This window comes from Homo sapiens, chromosome 1, assembly GCF_000001405.40.
Source record: "Homo sapiens chromosome 1, GRCh38.p14 Primary Assembly".
Lineage (NCBI taxonomy): Eukaryota > Metazoa > Chordata > Mammalia > Primates > Hominidae > Homo > Homo sapiens.
The window spans coordinates 147,494,056-147,517,948 of NC_000001.11; the positions used below are offsets into that span (position 1 = coordinate 147,494,056).

At 43.0% G+C, this 23,893-nt stretch overlaps 1 long non-coding RNA gene across 1 annotated transcript in view, besides 6 other annotated features; it reads right to left on the reverse strand.

The window, feature by feature from the left end:
* Positions 1-23,820, reverse strand: part of LINC00624 (long intergenic non-protein coding RNA 624) — a 135,684-nt gene extending 111,864 nt beyond the window's left edge. The window contains exons 1-3 of the long non-coding RNA NR_038423.2: positions 23,388-23,820; positions 21,466-21,621; positions 20,283-20,393 (exon numbers count right to left, since the gene is read on the reverse strand). This is a non-coding gene — a long non-coding RNA (long intergenic non-protein coding RNA 624). The remainder of the gene's footprint in view (positions 1-20,282; positions 20,394-21,465; positions 21,622-23,387) is intronic.
* Positions 1,008-1,197: a silencer, noted in NCBI's record as "silent region_1280". NCBI's record gives its function as "represses an Ori minimal core promoter by ATAC-STARR-seq in GM12878 lymphoblastoid cells {active_cell/tissue: GM12878}" and the evidence as "EXISTENCE:reporter gene assay evidence [ECO:0000049][PMID:35858748]".
* Positions 8,809-9,654: an enhancer, noted in NCBI's record as "H3K27ac-H3K4me1 hESC enhancer chr1:146974675-146975522 (GRCh37/hg19 assembly coordinates)". NCBI's record gives its function as "activates a minimal SCP1, AML or CMV promoter by ChIP-STARR-seq in primed H9 embryonic stem cells {active_cell/tissue: H9 hESC(primed)}" and the evidence as "EXISTENCE:reporter gene assay evidence [ECO:0000049][PMID:30033119]".
* Positions 9,655-10,502: an enhancer, noted in NCBI's record as "H3K27ac-H3K4me1 hESC enhancer chr1:146975523-146976368 (GRCh37/hg19 assembly coordinates)". NCBI's record gives its function as "activates a minimal SCP1, AML or CMV promoter by ChIP-STARR-seq in primed H9 embryonic stem cells {active_cell/tissue: H9 hESC(primed)}" and the evidence as "EXISTENCE:reporter gene assay evidence [ECO:0000049][PMID:30033119]".
* Positions 10,503-11,348: an enhancer, noted in NCBI's record as "NANOG-H3K27ac-H3K4me1 hESC enhancer chr1:146976369-146977214 (GRCh37/hg19 assembly coordinates)". NCBI's record gives its function as "activates a minimal SCP1, AML or CMV promoter by ChIP-STARR-seq in naive and primed H9 embryonic stem cells {active_cell/tissue: H9 hESC(naive and primed)}" and the evidence as "EXISTENCE:reporter gene assay evidence [ECO:0000049][PMID:30033119]".
* Positions 16,006-16,664: an enhancer, noted in NCBI's record as "NANOG-H3K4me1 hESC enhancer chr1:146981878-146982536 (GRCh37/hg19 assembly coordinates)". NCBI's record gives its function as "activates a minimal SCP1, AML or CMV promoter by ChIP-STARR-seq in naive H9 embryonic stem cells {active_cell/tissue: H9 hESC(naive)}" and the evidence as "EXISTENCE:reporter gene assay evidence [ECO:0000049][PMID:30033119]".
* Positions 22,017-22,217: a silencer, noted in NCBI's record as "peak403 fragment used in MPRA reporter construct". NCBI's record gives its function as "represses an SCP1 promoter by STARR-seq MPRAs in K562 erythroleukemia cells {active_cell/tissue: K562}" and the evidence as "EXISTENCE:reporter gene assay evidence [ECO:0000049][PMID:32103011]".
* Positions 23,821-23,893: the final 73 nt, after the last annotated feature.

A 23,893-nucleotide genomic window follows, 5' to 3' on the forward strand; every position in this document is an offset into this window, starting at 1 on the left:
AAGAGGCTATGGCTGTCATGTCATCCAGGTGGAAAGAGAGTAAGGTGTTACAGTAGCAGACAGTAGAGATGGAAGAAATTGTCAGCTTTGAGATATATTTTATAGGTAGAGCGAAGGGGTTTTTGGAAGACCTAGACATGGGGATATAACTGAAAGAAGAAAAGTAAATAGGGCTCCTAGAGCAACTAGGTAGATAGTGGTACCATTCACTAAGGTGGGAAAGGCCAGGGTTGGGGAATAGACCTAGGAGGAATGGGGAATAAATAGCTCTATTTGGCCATGTTAAGTTTGAAATAGCTGTTAGATTTCCAAATGGAGCAGACAGGTAGATACTAAGTCTGGATCTCAGGGAAGAGGCCCAGGTCATATGTGTAAGAATTGTCAGCATGTAGGTGGCTCCTAAGGCCATGCTTGTTCACCTTACTCTACCTTAAGCTCTAGATAATATCTTTTCCTAACCCCTCTGTCCCAGCTTCACTGAAAGGCATGTTCCCATCAGCAAAAATCTCAAAGACTGAATGGAATGGTAAAACTCTGCCATTCTAAAGAATCAGCTCCATGCACATGCATAAGACAGAGTTGCAAGGCCTCTTCCACCAAACCCCTCATTTACCCATGATAAGTTTGGGGTGCAGAGAGGTGAGAGACCCAGTGGTGTCAATGCCTAGCATTACCAGGGCTTAAACCCGATGTGCTGGTCCACAACACAGCATCCCTTCAGCAATCCTGTTGCCGCCAAGATGGCCTGATTATATTAGGGCTGTGGGATATGAACAAAGTCAGGTACATGCACATACCATGACTAAATTTAAAATTACAATTTTAATCTATGGGGAGGGTTCATTCTTTATCATTCAAAGGTGAGTGAGAGTCCTAGGCATGGTATAGAACAAACAGAAAGCAAAGTTTTAAAAATAATAATCCCTCTGAGGACCAATGAGGCTCACGTCTATCTCCAGGGCTCCTCTGAGCCCTGCTTGTCTTTAATTCATGGTCAGTGAATGTGAACAGGCATTGAGGCCCCAGGTGCCCTGGCAGTCTGCATCAACGCTTTGTGAATAACTGCCCTGGAAAGGTTAGGTACCACTTGGTTCCTGCAAAGCACCACTAGAGGGCTGCAGACACTAGCAGTGGCTGGTACAGACAGCCACTGAAACCGAATTTGAGAACCGCGCCATCGCCTAGTGGTCCAACCCTCCCTGTAGGTTGAGGAAATTAGAGCCTCAGAAATATTAAGTGGCTCTCCCAAGGCCTCCCGGCTGGTTAGTGACAAAGTCACAATTCCACCACAGTTCCTCTGATGCAAAATTCAGTGTGATATAATGGAAAGTATATGGGTTTTAGAGCCAAGAATCCCATTTTGCTGTGTCTTATCTTGGGTGCTCAGTGAAACTTCCTAACTTCTCTGAACTTCAGCATCTTGATCTGTTTTATGGGTGATGAGTGCTTCTGCCGTGCCATGTGTTCTGTTGGTACACTGTCATAGTTGAGGGGCCCGGCACTTAGTGAACACTCAGCCAATGCTGTGGCCTTCACCTCTTTCTGCTGAGGCCAGGTTCTTCTCTAAGATGGCTCAACCTCAAGAAGCAACTTTCAGGAATGAACTCAAATGATGCAGTCTGGTTACAATACTTTGCTGCATGTTGGAGTACACATAAAGAGAACTATATTGCTTTAAAAGACACAACAAATAAATACAACCATAGGAGGTACATATAGCTTTAGTTGAACAAGGAGGCATGGAAAGGAAAGGGGCTTCCTTGCTCTGTCCTAAGGTTTAGATTCCCAGCATGTCCTTTCATGCACCCCCATTCAGTGGATATTTGTTGAGTGCCCATTGAAGGAGGGACCTGGGCATTTGGGGAGGACACACACGAATCCTACCCTCAGCAAGAAACAACAATTTCATGCCAGGCTTTTCCCTGTAACTTTATTTATCTTACCTCTTGGATTCTCACGATAGTCACGCCAGTGATTATTAGTCCTTAAGGATTCATCAACAGTCCCTCATGATTTTAGAGATGAGAAAATTGAGTCTCCGAAAAGTTAAATAACTTGTCCAAGGTCTTTCAGAAAATACGGAGAAGCTCTGGAGTTTAAGCCCAGCTCTGCCTGAGCTTTCACAGCACTGCCTGTGCCCTATTCCTGGAGGTGTAAGGATTGAGGACGTGGGAAGTGCTGCAACAGGAAGGCTGCTGGGAATTCTGAGCAGCGGCCCCTAACTGAGGGGATCCAAGATGGCTTCAGGGGAAGCTCACACTGGCCTGGGGAGGTGGGAAGAAGAAATTCCTGCCACAACTGTATATGGTAAATCAGATGCATCAAAACATGGTGTGTTTGGTGGATGAAGGAGAACACACACACACACACACACACACACACACACAGAGTTAGGGCTGGTTGAATTCCATAAAAGAATTCTTCCTGAAAGGAAGTACAGTCAAAAGCTGAAGTAAAAAATCTAAAGTTAGATTTGTAACACCAGTATACCTCACTACCAGCTTGCCCAGAAAATTAATTTCATGTTCCACTGTTCTATTAAAAAACTCTGACTGAAATGTCTTCACAAGGTAAACAATAGGAAAGGGTCCAGGAACTTCCTAAAGCATTTAACACAGCCAAAGGCTGACCTGACCTAATTGGTGGGAAGTAGGAGGGAGGCCAGGGAATCCCAGCTCCCTTCCGCCTACCCAAGGCCTGGCACACTGCCACTTAGAAATACTAACTAGCCCAGTGGCCACGTTCAGCAACTGCAGGGCCGCCCCATCTGGCCCCTTGAGGTGCTGCCCACCAGCATGTTTGTCATTGTGAGCATCTTCTGAACATGAATGTCCAGATGCTCTTCCAAAGCAGTTCTAGAAATAGCCAGGCGCCTGAATAAAGCCTGACACAGGAAACATCTTTCCATCCAGGACAAAGCACACTCCTCCAGGGAAAGGAGAGAGGAAGTCATAATTAGAATCATTCATTCATCCAACAGAACTGAGCCTCCAGCAAAGAGCCAAATGTAATTTTTGACTCTGACTGCACATTGGAATCACCTGGGAACTTTTAAAAATACCAATGCCGCAGCTCCACCCTAAAACAATTAAGTAAGAATATCTGGGAGTGCAGCCCAGGCCTTTGTATTTTTTAAAAGCTCTCTGGATGATTCTTATGTAGTTGAGAACTACTGCATTAAATATTATATACAACAAAAAACAGAGTCACTGACCAGGCCTCAAGGAGCTCACAGTTTCACAGAGCCCTACAGTTTGCAATATGTTTATTCCTGCCAGTGACCTTGGTTGATAGTCACAACCAGTCTGGGAGGTTGTTGTTATTGCCTGTTTTGCAGATGAGGCAGCTAAGCCTCAGAGAGAGTATACAGCTGCCCAATATTACACAGCAGGTAGGCAGCAAGTGAGCACAAGAACCAGGTTTTCTAATTCCATGACTCCTGCTCTCACATCACAGACCAACATGTAGAGGAATCGGACCGAGGAGAGGCTCAAAGCACTTCATAACTGCAGCATGGCAAGAGTCAAGAGCCAAAGGAATAAATCGAGGAGAGTCTTAGGTGGACCTACCTGCCCTAACTAATGTCCACCAACCAGCTGATGTCCATTAGTGTTCCTAAAACTGTGCCTGCGTTGATCAACTACTTATTTAACTCTTCTCATTAAGAATTTTCTAGGCAACAGAACCTTGTGGATAGAATTTTAAGCAGACACTTAAAAGATCACCTTGCCAGGCTCCACAATTGGCCTTCGGATATGCTAACAACCCCTAAGAAGAATACAATTTATTGCATAAATTCTGATACTGTGAACAGTAAGTACTTAGTACAGTGTCTCAACTGATTTGTTGGCCATTAATTAATGGTCAGTAGGTGTTAGAGGGAGAGCCCATGTTAGTAAAAAGGAAAAGGGAAACAGGTGCAGCATGTGGCTAAGCAGTGGGCCAGAACGCAGAGGCTTTGAAATCTAATTCCCTTCTGGGTGGCTGTTTAGCCTTATGTAAACCCTTGCCTCTTTAGGTTACATATACAGTTTTGCCTAACCCGAAGTGGGCTGTACATTCCCATGGCCTCAGAGATATTTAGTCTAGTTTCCCAAGTGCTGGTCCTTTGGGAAGCAGGAATTACTCTTCTCAAACAGATTTTCTACCCCTGCCCTTTCCCCTTCAGCAACTGTGATCTGGCTCTTCTCTGTCTCTCTTCTAACCCCTTTTCTTCCTCACTCCTGGTGTTTGTCAAAGGGCAGTTTCCCTGTTCACCACTTGGAAATCACCAATAAAATGCAACCCTTCCATTTTGCAGATGAAGAGACTGACATCCAAAGAGAGACCCTGGCCAAAGCCACCTAGACAGTGACAGAGCTAGGACCAGCCCAGCCTCCTGGTCCCACCCCAGTACTCTGTCAGGACAGAAACAACCAGGACCATAAAGCATTTGTGAGTGTAGGTTCCATTCCCAATGCTAACTAGAGCAACTCACAGTTACTAGACTCAGCTTAGTGGCCTTTGGATATGGGTCCAACTGTGGGAAAAATCACGATGAAAGGAAATGTAGTCTGATAACCCCTTGCCTCTTTCAGGTCAAGATGAAAGTACTTAGATGGGTTAGTAATGTATGTTACTAACACCTCAGTATATGCAAAATCCATATCTGTTTTTTAAAAGAGGATCCACCGGGAGAAGAACCCAAAGAAGTAAGTCTCTAATAACAGCATTTATGGTCTGTGATATCTGGATTCAGTTGACCTTCTTGGTTCCTTCCATAACAGTAGTAAGGATAGTAATAATAATACCCTACCTACCATTTACTGAGTGCCCAATATATTCCAGTGGCTCTGAAACAGGCTTCATGTATCATTTAATGCTCATGTGAAGCAGGTCTTATTTTCTCCTTATACAGTTGAGGAAAGTGAAACTCAGAGTGGGTAATAACATGCCCACGTTTCCACAGTTTGTAAGCACCTGAGCCAGGGTCAAGTCTGGGTCTTTATACCACATACATAAACCCCTCCTCAGAGGACCTCAGTCCTAAACAAACATCGAGAAATTTTGGACATGGCAAAGGCCACACATAGATACAAGGATGCATAAGAGAGAGAAATATCAGTCCTCAAAGGCTGAGCATTCTGCAGTTGGCTTTGAACTGGTTGCCCACCCATCCCCTGGACCATTCATCTTCCCCTCAGTCATGGACCCTGGAGGCTGTGAGGGAAGCAAGCAGCTTGAGCACTGTCTGGTCCAACACTGGAGGGAAGCCTGATGGCTGTGACATTCATCAACTGGTTAATTTCAGAAAGGCATCCATTTGCACCAGCTGCTTAAAAAGCTCCTGGCCCTCAGGAGACACTCAACCAATCACAAAGCAAAGGCAGGGAGTGTTTCTGGTAACCACATTCAATTGGGTGTCTGTCTGCTGCTTGATGGGTTGTATAATTTCAGCAAAGCAAAGGACAGTGGAGAATAGAGTTAAAATGAATGATCTTATTTCTTTTAAATTATTATTCTTATATTTATGACTCACATTTGTCCTTAATGCACAAGTGCCCTATTAACCTATCATGATGATGATGGTCATGATGAAAATGACTGCTGTTGCTCTTTACACGGCGAGAGATGCTTGGCTGTCTCTGACAAATTCTCCCTAGGTGGCTGCATCTTGTGTGTGTGTTTGGAGGGAGAGGTGAGGGAAAGTCACCACAGGTCCAGGGTCTCCTCCTGAACTCAGTCAGTTCAAGTTAAAGTCTCAAGTAAGAAATGTCTTATAAAAATGATTGGTAAACCAGAAGGCAAACACATTCACATAGACAAGGAGAGATTTCCCACCACTTCCCAGAGTTGGTGTTGAGGAATGGGGCACTTCCTCCTAGTTGTCAGTTCCCCTCATGAGAGCAAACGCTCTATGATCACAGATTTGAAATAAAGTGCATGGGATGTTCTTAAGAAACCATTTCTCCTCGTTGGGGTGAAGATGAATGAAGAGAAAAGCAGTATGATTATTTCAATCAATGCATAAAATGGATATGACAAAATACTGCTCCCTCTTATGATAAAAACTCACAGCACACTAGGAATACAAGGGAATGTCCTCACTCTGATAATAAGTATCCACAAACAAATTAAAACTAATCATATTAAGTGGAAAAACACTGAACGTTATCATTTCTATTCAACATTGTACTGGTCTGTGCCATATACTGTTAATGTCAGAAAAATAATTAAAATGCATTGCAATTGGAAAGGAAAAAATAAAATAGTAATTATTTGCAGTGACATGATTGTGTGTGTTGACCCTTCACAGCCTCACTCTATAGTTAATTCTTATCGGGACCTCTCAATGTGGCAAACACTGGACAACAATGATCTCACTTGGTCCTGCACTGGTTATCTCTTTCATTTTACTAGTGGTGAAGGAGAAGCCTAGAGAGGGCAGTACCCTCATTCAACTCCAGGTTTGTCTACCTACAAAGCTGAAGCTCTCAACTGCCCCCTTTGTCCCATCTCTGTAGGTTTAGAGCTACTTAAAGAGTTAGCACTGTGTGTCTATACTCAAAAGTACCTTCTCCCTCTGTAGTATTGAGCACTTCTAATTTTTGCTTACTCATTCCTTTTATAGTCTCTATGTAATCCACCAGTCTGGCTGCATTTGAGAGTTTATATGTTTGTTTTAAACTCAATGGTTTATTAAAGTTAAGAATGAAGACTCAGTCCAGAAAAATAAAATATATATACACGTATATATATATACGTGTACATATATACACACGTATATATATATACGTGTACATATATGCACACGTATATATACGTATATATACACGTATATAAATACACACATACACACACAATAGTAGAAAGAAGTTGGGGATTATGGTAACAGGGCAGGTAGGTAGGAGAGGACAGAACATAAATCTGAAGATGCTACATTCACTCATTCAACAATAAATAAGTGTGAAACATTTACTGTGTGCCAGCTACTGAATGCTTAGAACTGACAATAAAAAGATGAGGTCTCAGCCTTAGCGCCATCTTCTTGGAAACCTCTGTGCCATGAGAGCCAAGTGGAGGAAGAAGTGAATGTGCAGGCTGAAGCGCAAAAGAAAGATGAGGCAAAGGTTCAAGTAAATCACTAGTCTGTGCACCAGTGGAGGCCGCAGGAGTAGAAACATGGAATGGCAGAGGCTGGAAATGCTGGTACAAGTTGTTGAACTGCATGGATCTAGAGCTTCTCTCAATGGATCTAGAACTTCATCGTCATCTGATCACCGAGACTACCTCTGAGGCTCACCTTGCTCATAACAAAAACTGTCCATGTTGGTCCTTTGCCCCAGACCTGTGACATTCTGGACTATTTCTGTGTTCACTTGTGGCTGAGTGAAAGAGCCATACGATAAATTACCTCTTACTCTGTCTTAGCTGAAGAGTTAACAAAAAAATAAAAAAACAAAAAGATGAACAGGACTAAGCTATACCCTCAAGCTTCCCGCAGCATAGTACGGGTAGAAGTGGGAAATAGTTATGATCCAATGGGTATTTTGGAAGCAAAGGAAAATGCATGACCCGACTGCCAAAGTCCCTGAGTAGGGAAGCAGGGCTGGGAAGATTTCACTTGCCCTTTAAAATTATACATAATATCTTCTATTAGCTCATTCATAGCACCATAAGATGAAAAAAAGTTCATTTTTTTAAGTCCATGCTTAGGACAAAAAAGTCTTAACACAAGTATTTAGAAATATCGCCTTATAAATGAATAATGAAATATGCTGAGGTGGAATAAAAAATAATAATAAACTAACTATATTAGTCCATTTTCACACTGCTATAAAGAATACCACCTGAGCCTGGGTAATTTATAAAGAAAGGAGGTTTAATTGACTCACAGTTCCACATGGCTGGGAAGACCTCAGCAAACTTACAATCATGGCAGAAGGTGAAGGAGAGGCAGGCACCTTCTTCACCAGGCGGCAGGAAGGAGGAAAGAATGGGAAACTGCCATTTATAGAACCATCAGATTTCATGAGAATTCACTCGCTATCACAACAACAGCATGGGGGAAACTGCCCCATGATCCAATCACCTCCCACCAGGTCCCTCCCTCTGCACCTGGGGATTATAATTCAGATTACAATCCAGAGATTTGGGTGGGGACACAGAGTCAAGTCATATCATTAACATTTATTAATGCAGGCACTAGTCTAAGCTCTTTACATGTATTAACTCATTTAAGCCTCACTAGAACCCTAAGGGATAAATATCAATACTATTCCCATTTTACAAACTAAAAATTGACTCACAGGTTGCTACACATGGCCAAATAACACTTATTATCTATTATGTAACTGATCCTAAAAGGAGGTAGCAAGGAGTAGAGAGAAGAGAACAAACTTTAATTAGAACAAGGCTCTGCCACAGTTAGCTCTGTTGATTTGGGTCTTTATGGGTAAAGCGAGTGGGTTGGTAGATAACTTATGAGGCTCTTTCAATTTCAAGCCTTGAAAATCCTTCTTAACTTTATTTTCTATGGGAATAAGGTAAGGAAGGACAAAAGATGAGCAGAGGTGAGAAGCAAACTGAAGCCACCAGGGCTTTGGAAAGTGTCACTGGAACTGCAGCAGAGTTAATACAACAGAACTGATGCCCAGTAGGTGGTCAGGAAATAGATGCTAAACAAAATGAATGTATGAAGGGAATAACTAGTGAAGGAAAAACAAAATCTTCACTCAGAGATGTTAAAGATTGATGCCATACAATATAGCAGAAAAGAATGTAAACACTGTGTTTATAATAGAACCCCCAGTGGGACTGCAGAGGAAGAAGAATGACAGACACTGATCCTGTGGTTTCATGGCAGGGTTGTCAAGAGCATGAGTTCTGGCATCAGACTACTTCAAGTCCAGACTCTGCCACTCTTTAGTGTGGCCTTGCGCAAGTCACTCAATCTCTCTGTACCTTGTTTTCCTTATGTATAATTCAGGAATACTATTAGCACTTTCATCATAGAGTCGCTGAAAGATAAATTGAGATAATATACGTATAGCCCTGGCACATGGTGAGAGCACTATTAATTTAGGCATTGTTATTAATTCTGAATTGGTGGGAGTGAGACAGACAAGTAGGAAATAATGATTGCACCAGTATTGGTATCTTCTCATCATATCCAGCCTGATTTCTCCTCGAAAGAAGTTGTGGCAGGGGCAAAAGGATGATGTAAATATTTGGTTAATGAGATTACTGACAAACATGGAAGGAAATAAGACTAGGAATTGCAGACAAAGGGGGTTGAGGCATTACATGGATTGGTGCATAAAGGGCTCCTTAAAAAAGCCAGCGAGGCCGGGCACAGTGGCTCACACCTGTAATCCCAGCACTTTGGGAGGCCAAGGTGGGCAGATCACGCTGTCAGGAAATCGAGACCATCATGGCCAACATGGTGAAACACTGTCTCTACTAAAAATACAAAAATTAGCTGGGCATGGTGGCACATGCCCGTAATCCCAGCTACTCAGGAGGCTGAGGTAGGAGAATCACTTGAACTAAGGAGTCAAAGGTTGAAGTGAATCGAGATCACGCCACTGCACTCCAGCCTGGTGACAGAGCGACACTCCGTCTCAAAAAAAAAAAAAAAAGACAGCGAACTGGAGCTCTCCATCTCCTCCAAGGGCAGGTCCAGAAGAAATGAGCTTGCTTCCCAACAGAGGGGAAGACTGTCCTAATAAGAAATTAAGAATAGAGTTCTAAAGGAGGAAGAAAGGTGCCTGTTTGCTACTTTGTGGAGCTTTATAATGTAAATAGAAACATATTTTGGAGCTTTACATACATTCTTATCCTACTGAAATAAGGACTTAACTAAGGCCAAGGATGAGTTGGAATGAATCAGTATTCCAAGCCTCAGGCCTAAGAACCTAGCATTGTTGGCATTCTTTTTCTTTTTTTTTTTTTTTTTTTTTTTTGAGATGGAGTCTCGCTCTGTTGCCCAGGCTGAACTGCAGTGGCGCGATCTTGGCTCACTGCAAGCTCCACCCGCCGGGTTCACACCATTCTCCTGCCTCAGCCTCCCGACTAGCTGGGACTACAGGTGCCCACCACCATGCCCGGCTAATTTTTTGTATTTTTTAGTAGAGATGGGGTTTCACCGTGTTAGCCAGGATGGTCTCGATGATCCGCCCACCTCGGCCTCCCAAAGTGCTGGGGTAACAGGCGTGAGCCACCACGCCCTGCTGCATTGTTGGCATTCTTGCCATAGCTCTGGTTCTACTTTGTCACATTCAGCCCCCACTCGCTGAGCACCTACTGTGTGCCAAGCACCCTCCAAGGCCTCACAACCTGGTTTATATTCCAGACGTCCTAGCTGGCCTTTCTAAAGCACCATAATTGTGTACATGGGCGTGCAATCCCCATTCAACCTTAATTCTCCTGCTCTTCTCCAGGAGCTGATTTCTGACTCACAAACTCATACCCAAGTCAGCCATAACGCCGATGTACTTCCCTGGTGTGTGCGCTGAAGGATGGGTTGGAGGAGGCAACAGTGACACTGGTTCAGATATTGAAAGCCTCCTTAGGGTCTGGGCCTCTGCCCTCGCACCTAGCAACCAGGGCCACAGAAATCATTAACACAGTGCACTGATTTCCTTCTATTTCTCGGGTGCTGAGAAATGAAGGTAAATTAAAGAGAAGACGCGTATAAATAGGCCACTTTAACAAGTGATCATATTCACACCCAGGAACCACAATAACAAATCGGAACAACAGAGAAACATAGCGCGCTAATGAGACCGGAAGGCTGTTTCAGTTTCTGGGCTCTGCTCACTTGTGTTTTGAAAGGGCGAAGCAACTCAGTTGCAGGAATGTCCTGGGGGAGAAAATTCCACCAGGACGGACTATTATCAAGTTGTCACGGAGGAGGTGGGAAAAGGCTGCCAAAGAGAGTCTGACTCGTAGACTGCTCTCAGAAGGAATCAATGCTGGGTCTGATCAGAGCTCATCCTCTTTCATGCTGCCTGATTTTTTGAGAAATAACGCCCAGGGTTACACTGCATCATTGCAAACTCACCAGCCAGCCCCAGTCAGAGCTAGAGACCAGGCAGGGGAGAGCAAATGTAATCTGACCCTACCACCTGCTGGCTAGCTGGCTGGAGGGCGGGTACGGAAGGCAGGCCATGTTTGAGAATCTTTGTTGAGGCTTTGCTTCATCCCCCTCCCTCCCCCATCCTCCCACAGAATTGCTTATTCCTCTGGCAAAACCCTGATTCTCAGTGCCAAGCTTCTCCATGCATAAAATAAGGATGATAACATTTGTTTTCCACTTTTTCAGTGTCTTGTGAGACTTCATCTGCTAATATTTATAAAGCATCTCAAACTTCTTCAGTGAAAGGTGACAATCTGTAAGCACCTTGAACTGCCATTGACAACTGACATTTATTGAGCATGGACTTCGGATCAGACCGTGTACCAGGTAATTTATATACATGTTATTCAATTCAGTCCTGGTACAACAGCCTGGTAAAGTAGATGTTGTTATTCCTGTCTGGCAAAGAAAAGGAAACCCAGAAATGTCAAGTAACCTTGCCTAAATGCACACAGGTAAAAAGAGTCATGATTGAGTCTGATTCAAAGATTTCCCAATATGTGGCTCAGCCTCTCTCATACACTTTGCTTTGAATCTCCTTTGATTGTGTGTTCATTTATCCAATGAGCCGCTATGTGCCAGGCATTCTTTCCCTATCTTTCATCATCTACCCTTTTCCATGTCTCTGTGTGTACGTATCTGTTTCTATGTGTCTTTCTCCAATTTTTGTCACACACACACACACACACACACACACACCGAGCCAGGTGGAGACCAGTGTTCTCATCCTATAGCCCAGTTATAGGGCACCCAGCTTTTCTGGGCCTACGCCACAAGGTTTATTACCCTCCACTAGCAGGGGCAGCCCCATCTCTTGGCACAAATCCCAGGGACCCCCATACCTGGCGCTGCTTAGGGGTCCAGTTCATCTACCTGAAACTGAGTGAGCTTTCCTTGGCAAATTCTGAAGAAGTTTTTTCATTCATTGTTTGCTACAATTCATTTGACAATAAATCATATATTGCTTTGTGGCAGCTCTTCCATTGTTGCCTTAAACAACTGTTCAGCACTTAAATTTTTCTCATGTTTATGTCTTGTTCCTGGAAGCAAGAGTCGTGTCTTATGTCTCTGTTTCATCTGCAGTCCCCACAGGCTTGACACGTGAGAGGCATTCAAGAAACATTTGTTGATTTTATATTCAACTTCCTCCCGTTCCTGGGAATGGGTCTGCCTAATTACCCTTCCTGACAAATTCTGTGCCTTGCTATATATTCCTATCTCCCCATACCCCATCCTTTCTTTCTATTTTTATTTTTTTCATTCCTTCCTCTCCTCAGTTAACTAAGCAGAAATCATGGAGTTAGGTTTATTTGTTAAATTATCTTCCTTGGGTCCTATAGGTGGAAAGAAAACAAAATTTGGAGTCTGACAATCTGAGTTCGGGTCACTATGTGACAACAGAGTTCACTGGCTGTGTGTCCTCAGCCTAACTACCGAACTCGTCTGAAAATCCATTTCTCCCAAAATTACTATCTCCAGGTCTTCTCATCTCAGACCATGCTCCTGAAACATACCTTGCAAAGGTCATCAATGTCCTACCTACAGCCAAATCCAATAGACTGTTTTCAGCCTTTTTATTTTGACCTCAGTACATTTGTCTTTATTTATGTATTTATTTTTTGCAGAGACAAGGTCTCACTTTGTTGCCCAGGCTGGCCTTGAACTCCTGGGCTCAAGAGATCCTGCCATCTCAAGTCTCCCAAAGTGCTGGGATTACAGGCGTGACCCACTTCACCTGGCCCATTTGTCCTTATTGACCAGTTTTTTCTTGTCTCAACACTCTTCCCTCATGCCATCAACTTCATCTCATGTTCTTCTGAGTACTCTACTTGTTTTTTTTCATTGTTATCATTCTTCTTACTAAAACATGAGCTAACCTTAATTGATGCTTACTATGTGCCAGAATTGCGATAAACTTTCTAGGTACTGCTCCGTAAGGTAGGTGCTATTACTGTCCTTGTTAGAGATGAAAAGACCATGGCTCAGAGAGGTGACCTAACTTGCCCAGAGACATATGGCCAGAATATACTCTCTCAACAGAACAACATGCTTCTTCAACTCCTTTATGGGTTCTCCTTCTCTTCTTTTTACTTTTGAAGTTCCTTGGAGCTCTATCCTGGGCCTGTTTCTCCTCTGTCTACTCTCCCTGGCAATCTCAGCTACTTCTTTGTCTTTAATAACCAACCATGTAGCAATAGTTCCATATTGCCATCTTCAGCCCATGCTCCTCTCCTGAGATCCAGATCTTTGTCTTCAACTACTTACTGGACAGTGTGATACATGATGTTTCCGACATGACATGTCTTAAACTGCATTAGTCAACTCTCCCTCAAAACCTGCTTTTCCTCTCAGGCTTCCTACCTCAGTAAAGTCATCCACCCACTGCCATCCACCAACTGCCATCCGCCAACTGCCCAAGTGAGAAAGCTCAATGTCGTCTTCTTTACCTCTCATTCATCCTTCTTAACATGGCTTCCAAGACCCTTCAAGACTTGGTTCCTTCCTCTTTCCAGTTTCATTTCTTCCGATTCATCCCCTGACATTCTTCATCCAGCTGTGATCACCAAAGTGTGGGTCCTAGAGTAAGGCAAATTCACTTGCTTGCTTTCTCTGATTTTCTCTGACCTTCTCGTGTCTGGGTCTGCAATAAATTGTACCTCTAGCTGTAACATGCTTCCATCTCTTACCCCTCACCTAAGCTCATCTTTATTTACTAGGTCTCATCTTAAATGTCACTTCTTTTGAAAATACTTGCCTAGACCACCTCAGATCTTCCTGCTGGCTGTGCCCAGCTACCCTTACCGAAGCATAATCCTGTCAATGGCAATTACTTTTCAACTGTTGATATAGTCTTGTCTATTGTAGTATCTCCAGTATCCAGCACAGTGCCTTGTGCATAAAAGGCTCTCAAAATATGTTGAGCAAATGAATGAATTATAAAATAGAGTTAGCTAAAACTACTTCTCAGTAACATTAGGTAACTGTGGAAATTATGAGATAATATGTGTGATTATACTTTGTAAACTGTAAAATTCTAGAACAAACTCCATAGTGATAAAAAGAATTATGCATGGTTGATCTCCCACACTTTTCCAGATTCTTCATCCCCTTTCTGGACCCACTATCTCCTCAATAGCCAAGAGATCTTGATGTATCAAAGTCCCATAAGGGGACTCCAGCTGAGATTCCCCCCAGGTTCTCTCACTTTGAGGCTTCTTTCTGACCCAGGAGCTACTTAGGTAAGTTGTCTTCCATATCATCTCTGTCAGTTCCATGCTGAACTTGGCTCAATCAGCAGCTACTGACAAAACCACTCTTCCATACCTATACCTCTGCTCTGGCCCAATCCAATTTGGTTCTTTAAGCTGATTCTCCCCACTCACTTTACCCTCTAATCTGCCAGGACACTTAGTGACTGAGGATTAGACTTTTCACTGAGGATTAGTGTCTTGCCCTACCACCCCAATGGTCCCTCTTGCTTTCACTTGCTACAGAAACTTTACGAGAGAAGGACATCCTAACCTAAGGTTCTCCTGGCCATAGAGAAGCTAATTTGGAGAAGATTACGATGTTGATACATTTTTAAAGCAAACCCTCAATGAGTTGATTACTGAGTGAGGGAAGCTGATGTGGGTATGAGAAAAGGGAGACAAGGAGAAACAAGGAGTATCTGTGAGGGTATGAGAGTTGTTGGGGGAGGAGGAGCATGAATTCGATCCTCCCTGGTGATGCACTGTTTCCTCAGTGATAGCCCGTCTCTCCAACAGCAGGGTAACTTCTCTGGCTGGCTCCCAGAGAATGGGTGTCCCATTCTCAACCAGCATCACCTAAGACACACTTGGATACAGGGTTGCTTATCCAGAACCATCCCTGAGTTTAGAGGCCCAAATCGGGGATAATCTCAGTGATTTTTTTTTTTAATCATCACCAGGGATATTTGGGAAAGTCAATCACTGTATCAGCTAGTGGTTTCAACTTATAAAAACAACCACAATTGCAACAGCAAAAACCTCTGATTCACTCACATAAAGAGTGTGTAGACGGGCCTTCCTTTCTACTTCAACACCTGCTCCTCAGACTCACCCCCTTTGTGACTTCTTGAAAAATGCCTTGGGTGTTCATTAACCTGATGTAACCAATATAAATATGTTAGAGGAAAGCACTCAATGTTATCTGTCCTGGACCATCCTTGCCAGAGAAGGACAAGCTCTTAATACCATAGGAGATTGTTTATCTGAAAAATCTAACCACTGGAAGCATCCAAGGACTGTTTATACGCTAAATTTATTTTCTTTTTTTTAGGCAATATGTTCACATGTGGAATTAACATTATCTAAATTCCAGAGAAAGTGCTGATTGGACATTCAAGGTGAACAGTCCTCCTTTACAGTCCCTGAGCTCAGGCACCTTCCCTTCCCTCAGGCCCTTAATGTCTCTCTCCCCTATAGGCTCTTCTTCCCTTCTGGCTTCTGTTGCAGCACCTCTTTCTACCACACACCCCCATCCTCAGCCCAACACAGCATTGCTTACAAAACACTCAAGGTGCTAAACTTACCTGCACCTTTGTGTGTTTTTACTGCGTAATTTAAGGAAGTGACAGAACTGTCATAATGTGTGAGTTTAAGTCTCTGAGTTTTAAATTCAACACAAAAGTAAAACAAGGGGCTCATGAAGATGAGAAAGGTAGCAGACATATTTCATAATTTTTCAAGATATTACTCCTGGAGCCTTATGTTTTTTTCCTCCCGAAATCCTTGCATAACAACTAGACAGAATGATGAGCAGTGGCACCTTGGAAGGCAGCCAGTCTCACAGTATTAGAGAGATAATACAATTTTAGAACTGGAGGGGACCTCAGACCTGATTTAGTCCAACATTCTCATGTTAAGATTAGGACAGTGGGGCCCAGGGAAGTGTTGTGATTTGCTCAAGGTCGCATAGGGGATTTGGTGGAGCAAAAGCCCTCTGGGCATGCAAGGCCATACTATCCAGATTCAGGCAGGGCTTGACTGGCAGCAACGGGGCCTGTGCAGAGAGCCAGAAAGAGGCAGTGATAAAGAAAGTGAGGCTGCAGGGTGCCTGGGGAAAAGAAGCCGGGAAGGATCACAGAGGAAGATGCCTTTGAAGCACAATTTCAAACTAAGTGGTCAAGCTTGCAACATTTGGAGCATGAGGGTTACCAGATGGGCCTGGGATGGGCAGCAATCAGGCACTGGGGGATTCAATGGGAGTCAAGGCAACCAGAAGAAGCTGAGTCAAAGAGACTGATGTGCAAACCACATATGGCTCTCCATATAGTAGCTACAGCTGCAAACCCAAGGTCAGTGTTTAGATTTACAGGTGTGTGGATAAGACTTTTGGTCAGGGCCGGGTGCAGTGGCTCATGCCTGTAATCCCAGCACTTTGGGAGGCTGAGGCAGGTGGATCACGAGGTCAGGAGATCAAAACCATCCTGGCTAACACAGTGAAACCCCGTCTCTACTAATAATACAAAAAATTAGCCTGGCGTGGTGTCGGGTGTCTGTAGTCCCAGCTAGTCGGGAGGCTGAGGCAGGAGAATGGTGTGAACCCGGGAGGCGGAGCTTGCAGTGAGCCGAGATCATACCACTGCACCCCAGCCTGGGTGACAGAGCGAGACTCCATCTCAAAAAAAAAAAATGACTTTTGGTCAGCATCAGTCACCTCAGCCAGGTCCCTGAATCACAGCCAAGCCTAGATGAGTGGTATTATTGACCATGATAATGGGAGGATGAATGGTGGCTATGACTGCCTGCTGCAATCAACCTTTAGGATGGCCAGAAATTCTGATTTGGCCAGCCCTTGGCCCAGACAGCAATGTCCCCAAGACACAGTGATCACTGTGAACAGAAGCAGCTTCCATGACAAAGGCCACATACACAGCCCTGTGATCGAGGAGACCACTTTGTCATGGGTCAGAGCTCAGGTTAAGATAGACCTTTGGGGGTGTGGGGAATGGAGACAGTGAGGAGAGCACAGAGCTGCAGAGTGGAGAGAACTGAATTGACTATTTTCAAATCTTATGGATTCAGAAGCTGTCGATGGAGCAGTAGCAAAACATTCGTGCCACTGATACTAAAATGGCAAATCTCTCAACAACTTTATTGCCAGTATATTCAGAAGGTTTTGTCAGAAATCTTGAGTAAGTGACTTAACTTTGCTGTGTGTCAGGCTAAATCAATGCAATGCAAAAACATCTGGATGAAAATGAAGCATCTCTGTCAGTTGTCTGGGTGTTTTGTCTACCTGACATCAAACAGCTGGATTCTTGTAAACATTTCGATGATGCACTAAATTTTTCATTTTTCACTCAGATCACAAAATCATAGACTCTCCAGCTTGACAGGAACTTAAAGGTCATCTAATCCCTGATATTTGGCATAGCCTCAAATGACCTATTTTGTATTATCACGCAAATCAAACACTAAGATAGGGGTATGTGTTCTGTCTAATTACACACATTGTATCTTATTTAAAAACATGTTTAACATTTGGTTCTCCTTGGCTGTTTAATTGAATTGTAAATGAATCATTTACAGGGGAAACTAGATTATTATATGTATAAAAATACAATGAAATCCTGTAATTAGGCCAGACCTGATCTACAAAAAAAGAAAAAAAACTGCAGGTGTGTAAATGCTTGTGAACTTTGGTGCTATGTTCAACACAAAGCCAAGAGGCTATGTGAGTTACCGTCACTCATAGAACTACCTGCTTAGTTTCACAAGGAGAGCAGTTTGCAAAGAAGTTTGCTTTAGCTCTTTTTCACTTCTTACTTATTCCTGCCATTTAACAAGCTTACACCAGGTGTCTGTTTCTAGACTGAGACAAGCAAAGTAAGGGCAAAGGACTGTGAAATTCATTAACTCCAGAGATCTGTTTCAGCATCTGAATCTTTCTCATCCAGATGGCCAAGGCTTCATCCCACCCCAACCCCCTTTCATATTCAGAGAGTTCCTTTAAAAACATTCACCCAATCACAGCTTCATAGAGAAGACAGCTAAGGAAGCTTTCTTACCCATAGATTGAGCTCCTGGTCTAAAGTATGTGTTTAATTTCCCTGAAAGTCTGCACAGAGTTTTTCATTTTTTACAAATTGTTCTTTGAGCTATTGTCTCATTTATACTAGTAGGCAGCATAGAAATGGGGACAGCCAAATTAAGATATAGGAGCAAATAGGGAGTATTTTCCAAAACTAGATAATGTGTGCATGCTGAGTGAAAAAAAAAATGGTAATCTGGGGAGAAAAAGTTAGAAGGTCCAGAAAAAGGAAGAAAGGGTGAAATGAGGTGATGAGTCAATGAGGCAGGGAGATCTATGAAGACTGTTCTGGATGGCAGGAGATGTAGAAAAGAAGGTTCTTACATTTGCAGTGATGAAAGCTTATAATGGGCAAGGGGGAGGCATAGTAAATCAGTCAGCCAGCCAGCAGCATGTGCTGGGTGCCCACAGTGTACAGAGCATTCTTGATACTAATAACTGCAGGGCGTTATCGAGGTTGTAAAAGACCTTCCAAGATGAGCTTGAAAACTAGTGGAGGAGAACATCACAGAAAAACCACACCTCACTAAACTTCAGAGGAAACCAGAATCATATTGAATAATGAAGATGGCTATTACCTAAGCAGGCATCAATACAGCCACATGCACAAAAAATAATTCAAGCAATCTAGCTAGTATAGATTTAATATATATGTATGTCAGAGTTAACATTTATGGAGTGCTTACTATGCAGCAGACATTGTATTAAGCACTTTATACACATTACATCTTTTATATGGGAGATGTGGACAAGCCTAGAAAATCTAAACATGTAATGGGTCTGTTCATTTTGGTATGAAATGAAATAGATGAAAGGATATGGGTAAAGATGTAAACACGGACTCCAGCATTTAAGGATTTGACATAACTAGCTATGACTATTCATGGGCAACCCTTAAAGTAAAGGGGTTAAGTTGTAATTTTCTCAGATTTGGATTGACTTATGGTGGGCAATGACTCTCCTTCAGCTTTGGGTAGAGAATTGTTCACTACCACTGTCTACATCTCTGTACACCTTGATTGTTCTATGTGTTTCATTGAGTTTGTCTTTTTTTTTTTTTTTTTGAGACGGAGTTTCACTCTTGTCGCCCAGGCTGGAGTGCAGTGGCGTTATCTCGGCTAACTGCAAGCTCCACCTCCCAGGTTCAAGTGATTCTCCTGCCACAGCCTCCCCAGTAGCTGGGATTACAGGTGCCCGCCACCATGCCTGGCTAATTTTTTATATGTTTAGTAGAGACGGGGTTTCGCCATGTTGGGTAGGCTAATCTCAAACTCCTGACCTCAGGTGATCCGCCCGCCTCGGCCTCCCAAAGTGCTGGGATTACAGGCATCAGCCACCACACCCGGCCAAGTTTGTCATCATTCTTTTGAAGTTATGCTTTTCTGAATTATAGGGGGACAGTATAAACTATTGTTTAACCAAGAGTTTAAAGATTTGCAAATGTCTTCAGAAGTATAAATATTCACAAAGGGAAAGTGTCTCCTGACTTTAGAGAAATGTAGAAGTACCCCACTGGGTATGAGTAAGTTCTCCAGAGTCTCTCTTTAACCTAGCTCTAGGGTAGGATAGAGGTGGAGCCAGAAGGGTCTGTGTCTGCAGTTTTGACAGTGTTACCCTTCTTCAGCCTCCTGCACAGTGAGTGACCTCCAAGGATTATTCAGGGTTTGGGAACAGAGAATTGTAAAATATTTTAGATGGGCCAACCTTTTCTCAAAATCCTCTTCAAAGGAAAATTAGCCTCTTCCTCACCATTGCCTTCTGTGCTGAGGAAGAGGACCTGCTGCTCCTTGAAGGAGGGTGGCCATTTCGATACCACAAGAGCCTACTCTGCCCTTTGACTGGATGCCTGGCCAACTCCTGACATTAAGGCAGCAAGCAATCCCAGTACTGCACAAAGTTCTGCAGCAACAGAAGTGATGATTAAATAGGGCAATGGGTTCTCTTGGGAATACGAACTGGGAAATTCCAAAAATCAATCAGTATCATGAGAAACATCAGGAAGAACACAGAAGAGCAGCCCAGGCATGCTCGTGGTGAACAGCACAGAGATGAAGGGCCACCTCAGTGTTAGATCCTTCCAGTGTCCATATGACATTTCACTCACCAGGATGCCACTGGTGCCAGATGCTCCTGTGATGTGCCTCTCTCTCTCATCGCCACAGGTATGCTGCAGTAAGCCCCCACTGACTAAGGTAGCCTGAGGGAGTGTCAGCTCCTGGAAAACAAAAAATCACCATACTGTCAGAGCTGGTCACTTAGTCAGTGCTACTCAAAGTGTGGTCCAAGGACCAGTGGAATCCACCACTGTTCCAGTGTGCAGAAACAAAGCATAGAAACAAAATATGCATTTGGAAATCTTTAAATAGGAATTTGACCTTGCCCCAGCATCCAATTTTATGTCTGTTAAATCTAATAATAAAAAGTTGAGCTTGCATTTCATAAGTCTATGGGAGTTTTTTCATTTCATTTTTCTAATAATTTATTTTTATTGTGTTTTACAAAAGCATCAGTCAGTATGTGAAGGACTGAAAACTGTCAAATATTTAAAAACTGGTGCTTCACAACAGACAGTTTGAGGAGCACTGATCTAGTCCCGTTTACAAACTGTGAATCCTTGACCCATTCGTGGGTAGTAACCCATTAAGGAGTCACGAAATTAATTTGTGTGGATACCAGCATTAACAAAGAATAGAATAAAAAGTATCAGGGTACATTGCATGAATACAGGATTAAGTTCTTTTTTGTGAAATTTTTATTTTAAAAAGCATATGCAAATACATATGCACATACACACTTGTATATTTTTGCATGTATATAAAACAGAAAAAGGAACCTGGGATGCCCATGTTTTATTGTAAAAGATACTTCTGCTTTTCTAACAGTTGTAAGGAAAATGTCTGCACATATTTGGAAAACTATGTGTTGTCCATCACACACCCTTCTGCTATCTTTTATCTGATTTGGATTCTATGGGAGCTATTTCACAACTTTGTAAACTGTAGCTAGCTGATAGCATTGCAAAATAATTATTCTCTGTAAACATTCAAGTTTTGTCCCTTCTGGTAGAGGTTCAATTGATTCCCGCTCCCTCTGTGGAAGAAGTCAGTTTTGCCCTTTTTTTGTGCATTCAATATTCTTGATCTATACATGTTCTTTGTATTCTCTTTTGATCCAGTTATAATATCTGCCTAGTTCTCTCATAGATTGAGTTAAATAAAATCTCTAACACATGTTCATGTTCAATCTGTATGAGTCATGATTCTATGTTTCGTTTTTTTTTAAATTACCTTTTAACGTAGGTCACAGTAGAGCTTTCATGCATCAGGTGGCAGTGTTTGTTCAAACTTAGGTCAACTGTAATGAAATGGGATACCTCAACAGGAAGGCAAACCTGGATCCCTAGCAAGGCAGAGGGACTTCCTGGTTTAACTTTGTGCTGTTGCCTAGAGGAATCAAAAGGAAGGGGAGAATTTTATTGTGAAAGACCACATGCCAGCAATGATTTTAACTGCTGCTCTGTAAGATCCCTCCCACGCCTTGTTCTCATGATGTTTGAAATACACATCTCTTTTACTACAGTTCAGAAAAATCTGAAGATACAAATGAATATGGACTAGGCAAATTAGAAGTACGAGGTCTCAGACATAGCAAGAAAGAACACCAGCCTGAGAACAAAAAATTTAGGTTCTAGGCCCAACTTGATCCCTAATGAGCTGTATGATTTGATTTTAAGCATGTGACTTAGCTTCTCTGGGCCTCTTATTCTTTATCTGTACATTAATTTACTTAAGTTGGTAGTTTTCAATTCTTTTTCAGGCATAACAACTTTTTTTTTCAAAACAAAGCTTGTACACAGTTTTAATGTGCAAAACAAGACAACAACTCTGGTTTAGTAGGGTGTCTGCTTGGTTTCAACTCCTCCACTATGGTGGCCTCTAATTATAGGGGCCCCTCAGAACTGTGAGGATTCCAAGATAGCACGGTCTGAGAAGCATGGAATCCAAGAGCACTAACATTCTTCCTAATGCTGCGATGTTCCAGTCAATTACTTTGTCTCTGGTTTAAGAGCATTCAAAATCTTTTCCAAGTTGTTCCACCCTTTCCTTCCTTGCCCCATCCCCACCCTGTTGAGTATTTCCAATTTTAGCTCTGACCTTTAGAGTCCTTGTTCTATCTTCATTCAGTTCCTTCAACTGCTGGGATCCACCCCACAGGTTTGGTCCAAAACAACCTATGGGGTGTATTCCACTGTATTCTAATTATCTGTTTAATTATCTGCTTCCCCAACCAGACTGAGTTTCCTGAGAGTGGGTGTCTTGTCTTCTCACCTTTGTCTCCCAGGTCCAGTGCGGTGCCTCGCCCTCTTCTCTATTCTCAGTACACACTGTCTGAGTTCTTCTCTCTACCTTACCTATGTATGTTCTACCCAGATCTCTCTCCTCAACTTCAGCCTCTCTTGTACAACTACTTTCCAGACAATTCCACTTTGGGTATCTCATAGGCTCTTCAAAAGCAGCACATCCAGTTCTACAGCTTCCATTCAGAATATTTACCTCCTCCTAAAGTCCTATCTCAAGAAAATATGCTGCAACCTACCTGCTGCTGCCCAAGCCAGAAACCCTTGACACCTCACTTTCTTTCATTTCCACTTCCACATCCAACCCTTTAATTCCACCTCCTACCATTTTTTAATCCATCTACACTTTTTTTAGAGATGGAGTCTTGCTATGTTGCCCAAGCTAGACTTAAGTGATCCCCATCTCAGCCTCCTGAAAAGCTGGAGCTACAGGTGTGTGCCACAGCACCAGCGATCTGTCTTTCCATTTCCACTACTGTTGCCCAAGTTAAGATCACATGGATAATAACAGATCATTTTGATGGTGCTTCCAGGGTGCCAACTGTTGCAAAAATAATAAAACCCTTTTCATACATTAGATCCTTGAATGTGCGTATCTGCTCTGGTTATTACTGTAGCCCCATTTTACCATTAAGGAAATTGAAATTTAAAGAGAATAAATAACTTACCCAAGCTGGTAAGGGTTGGAGCTGAGAATTTAGTCCGTCTCTCCAATGCCAATACTCTAGCCCTTACCTATAATACAACAACTGAAATATTAACTGGTGTTGTATCCCTACTATCAGCTTTGCCTTCCAAGTCTTTTTTTTCCCGTTCTACAGCCCAGAGATTTTTTAAAAATAGAAATCTTACTGTGTGCGGAATTCATTCCTTCTGGTGGGTTCTTGGTCTCGCTGTCTTCAAGAATGAAGCCACGGAGACTCCCGGTGAGTGTTACAGTTCTTAAAGATGGTGTGTCCGGAGTTTGTTCCTTCAGCTGTTCAGATGGGTCCAGAGTTTCTTCCTTCTGGTGGGTTCGTGGTCTCACTCACTCCAGGAATGAAGCCGCAGACCCCGGCGGTGAATGTTACAGCTCTTAAAGATGGCGCATCACAGTTGTTTGTTCCTCCCGGTGGGTTCGTGGTCTCCCTGACTTAAAGAACGAAGGCACAGAACCTCGCGGTGAGTGTTACAGCTCACAGAGACAGTGCGGACCCAAAGAGTGAGCAGCAGCAAGACTTATTACGAGAGTGAAAGAACAAAGCTCCCACAGCAGGACACCAGAGGGCAGCGGGTTGCAGCAGCTGGCTGGGTGCTCCGCGTGGCCAGCTTTTATACCCTTATTTGCCCCGCCCACATCCTGCTGATTGGTCCATTTT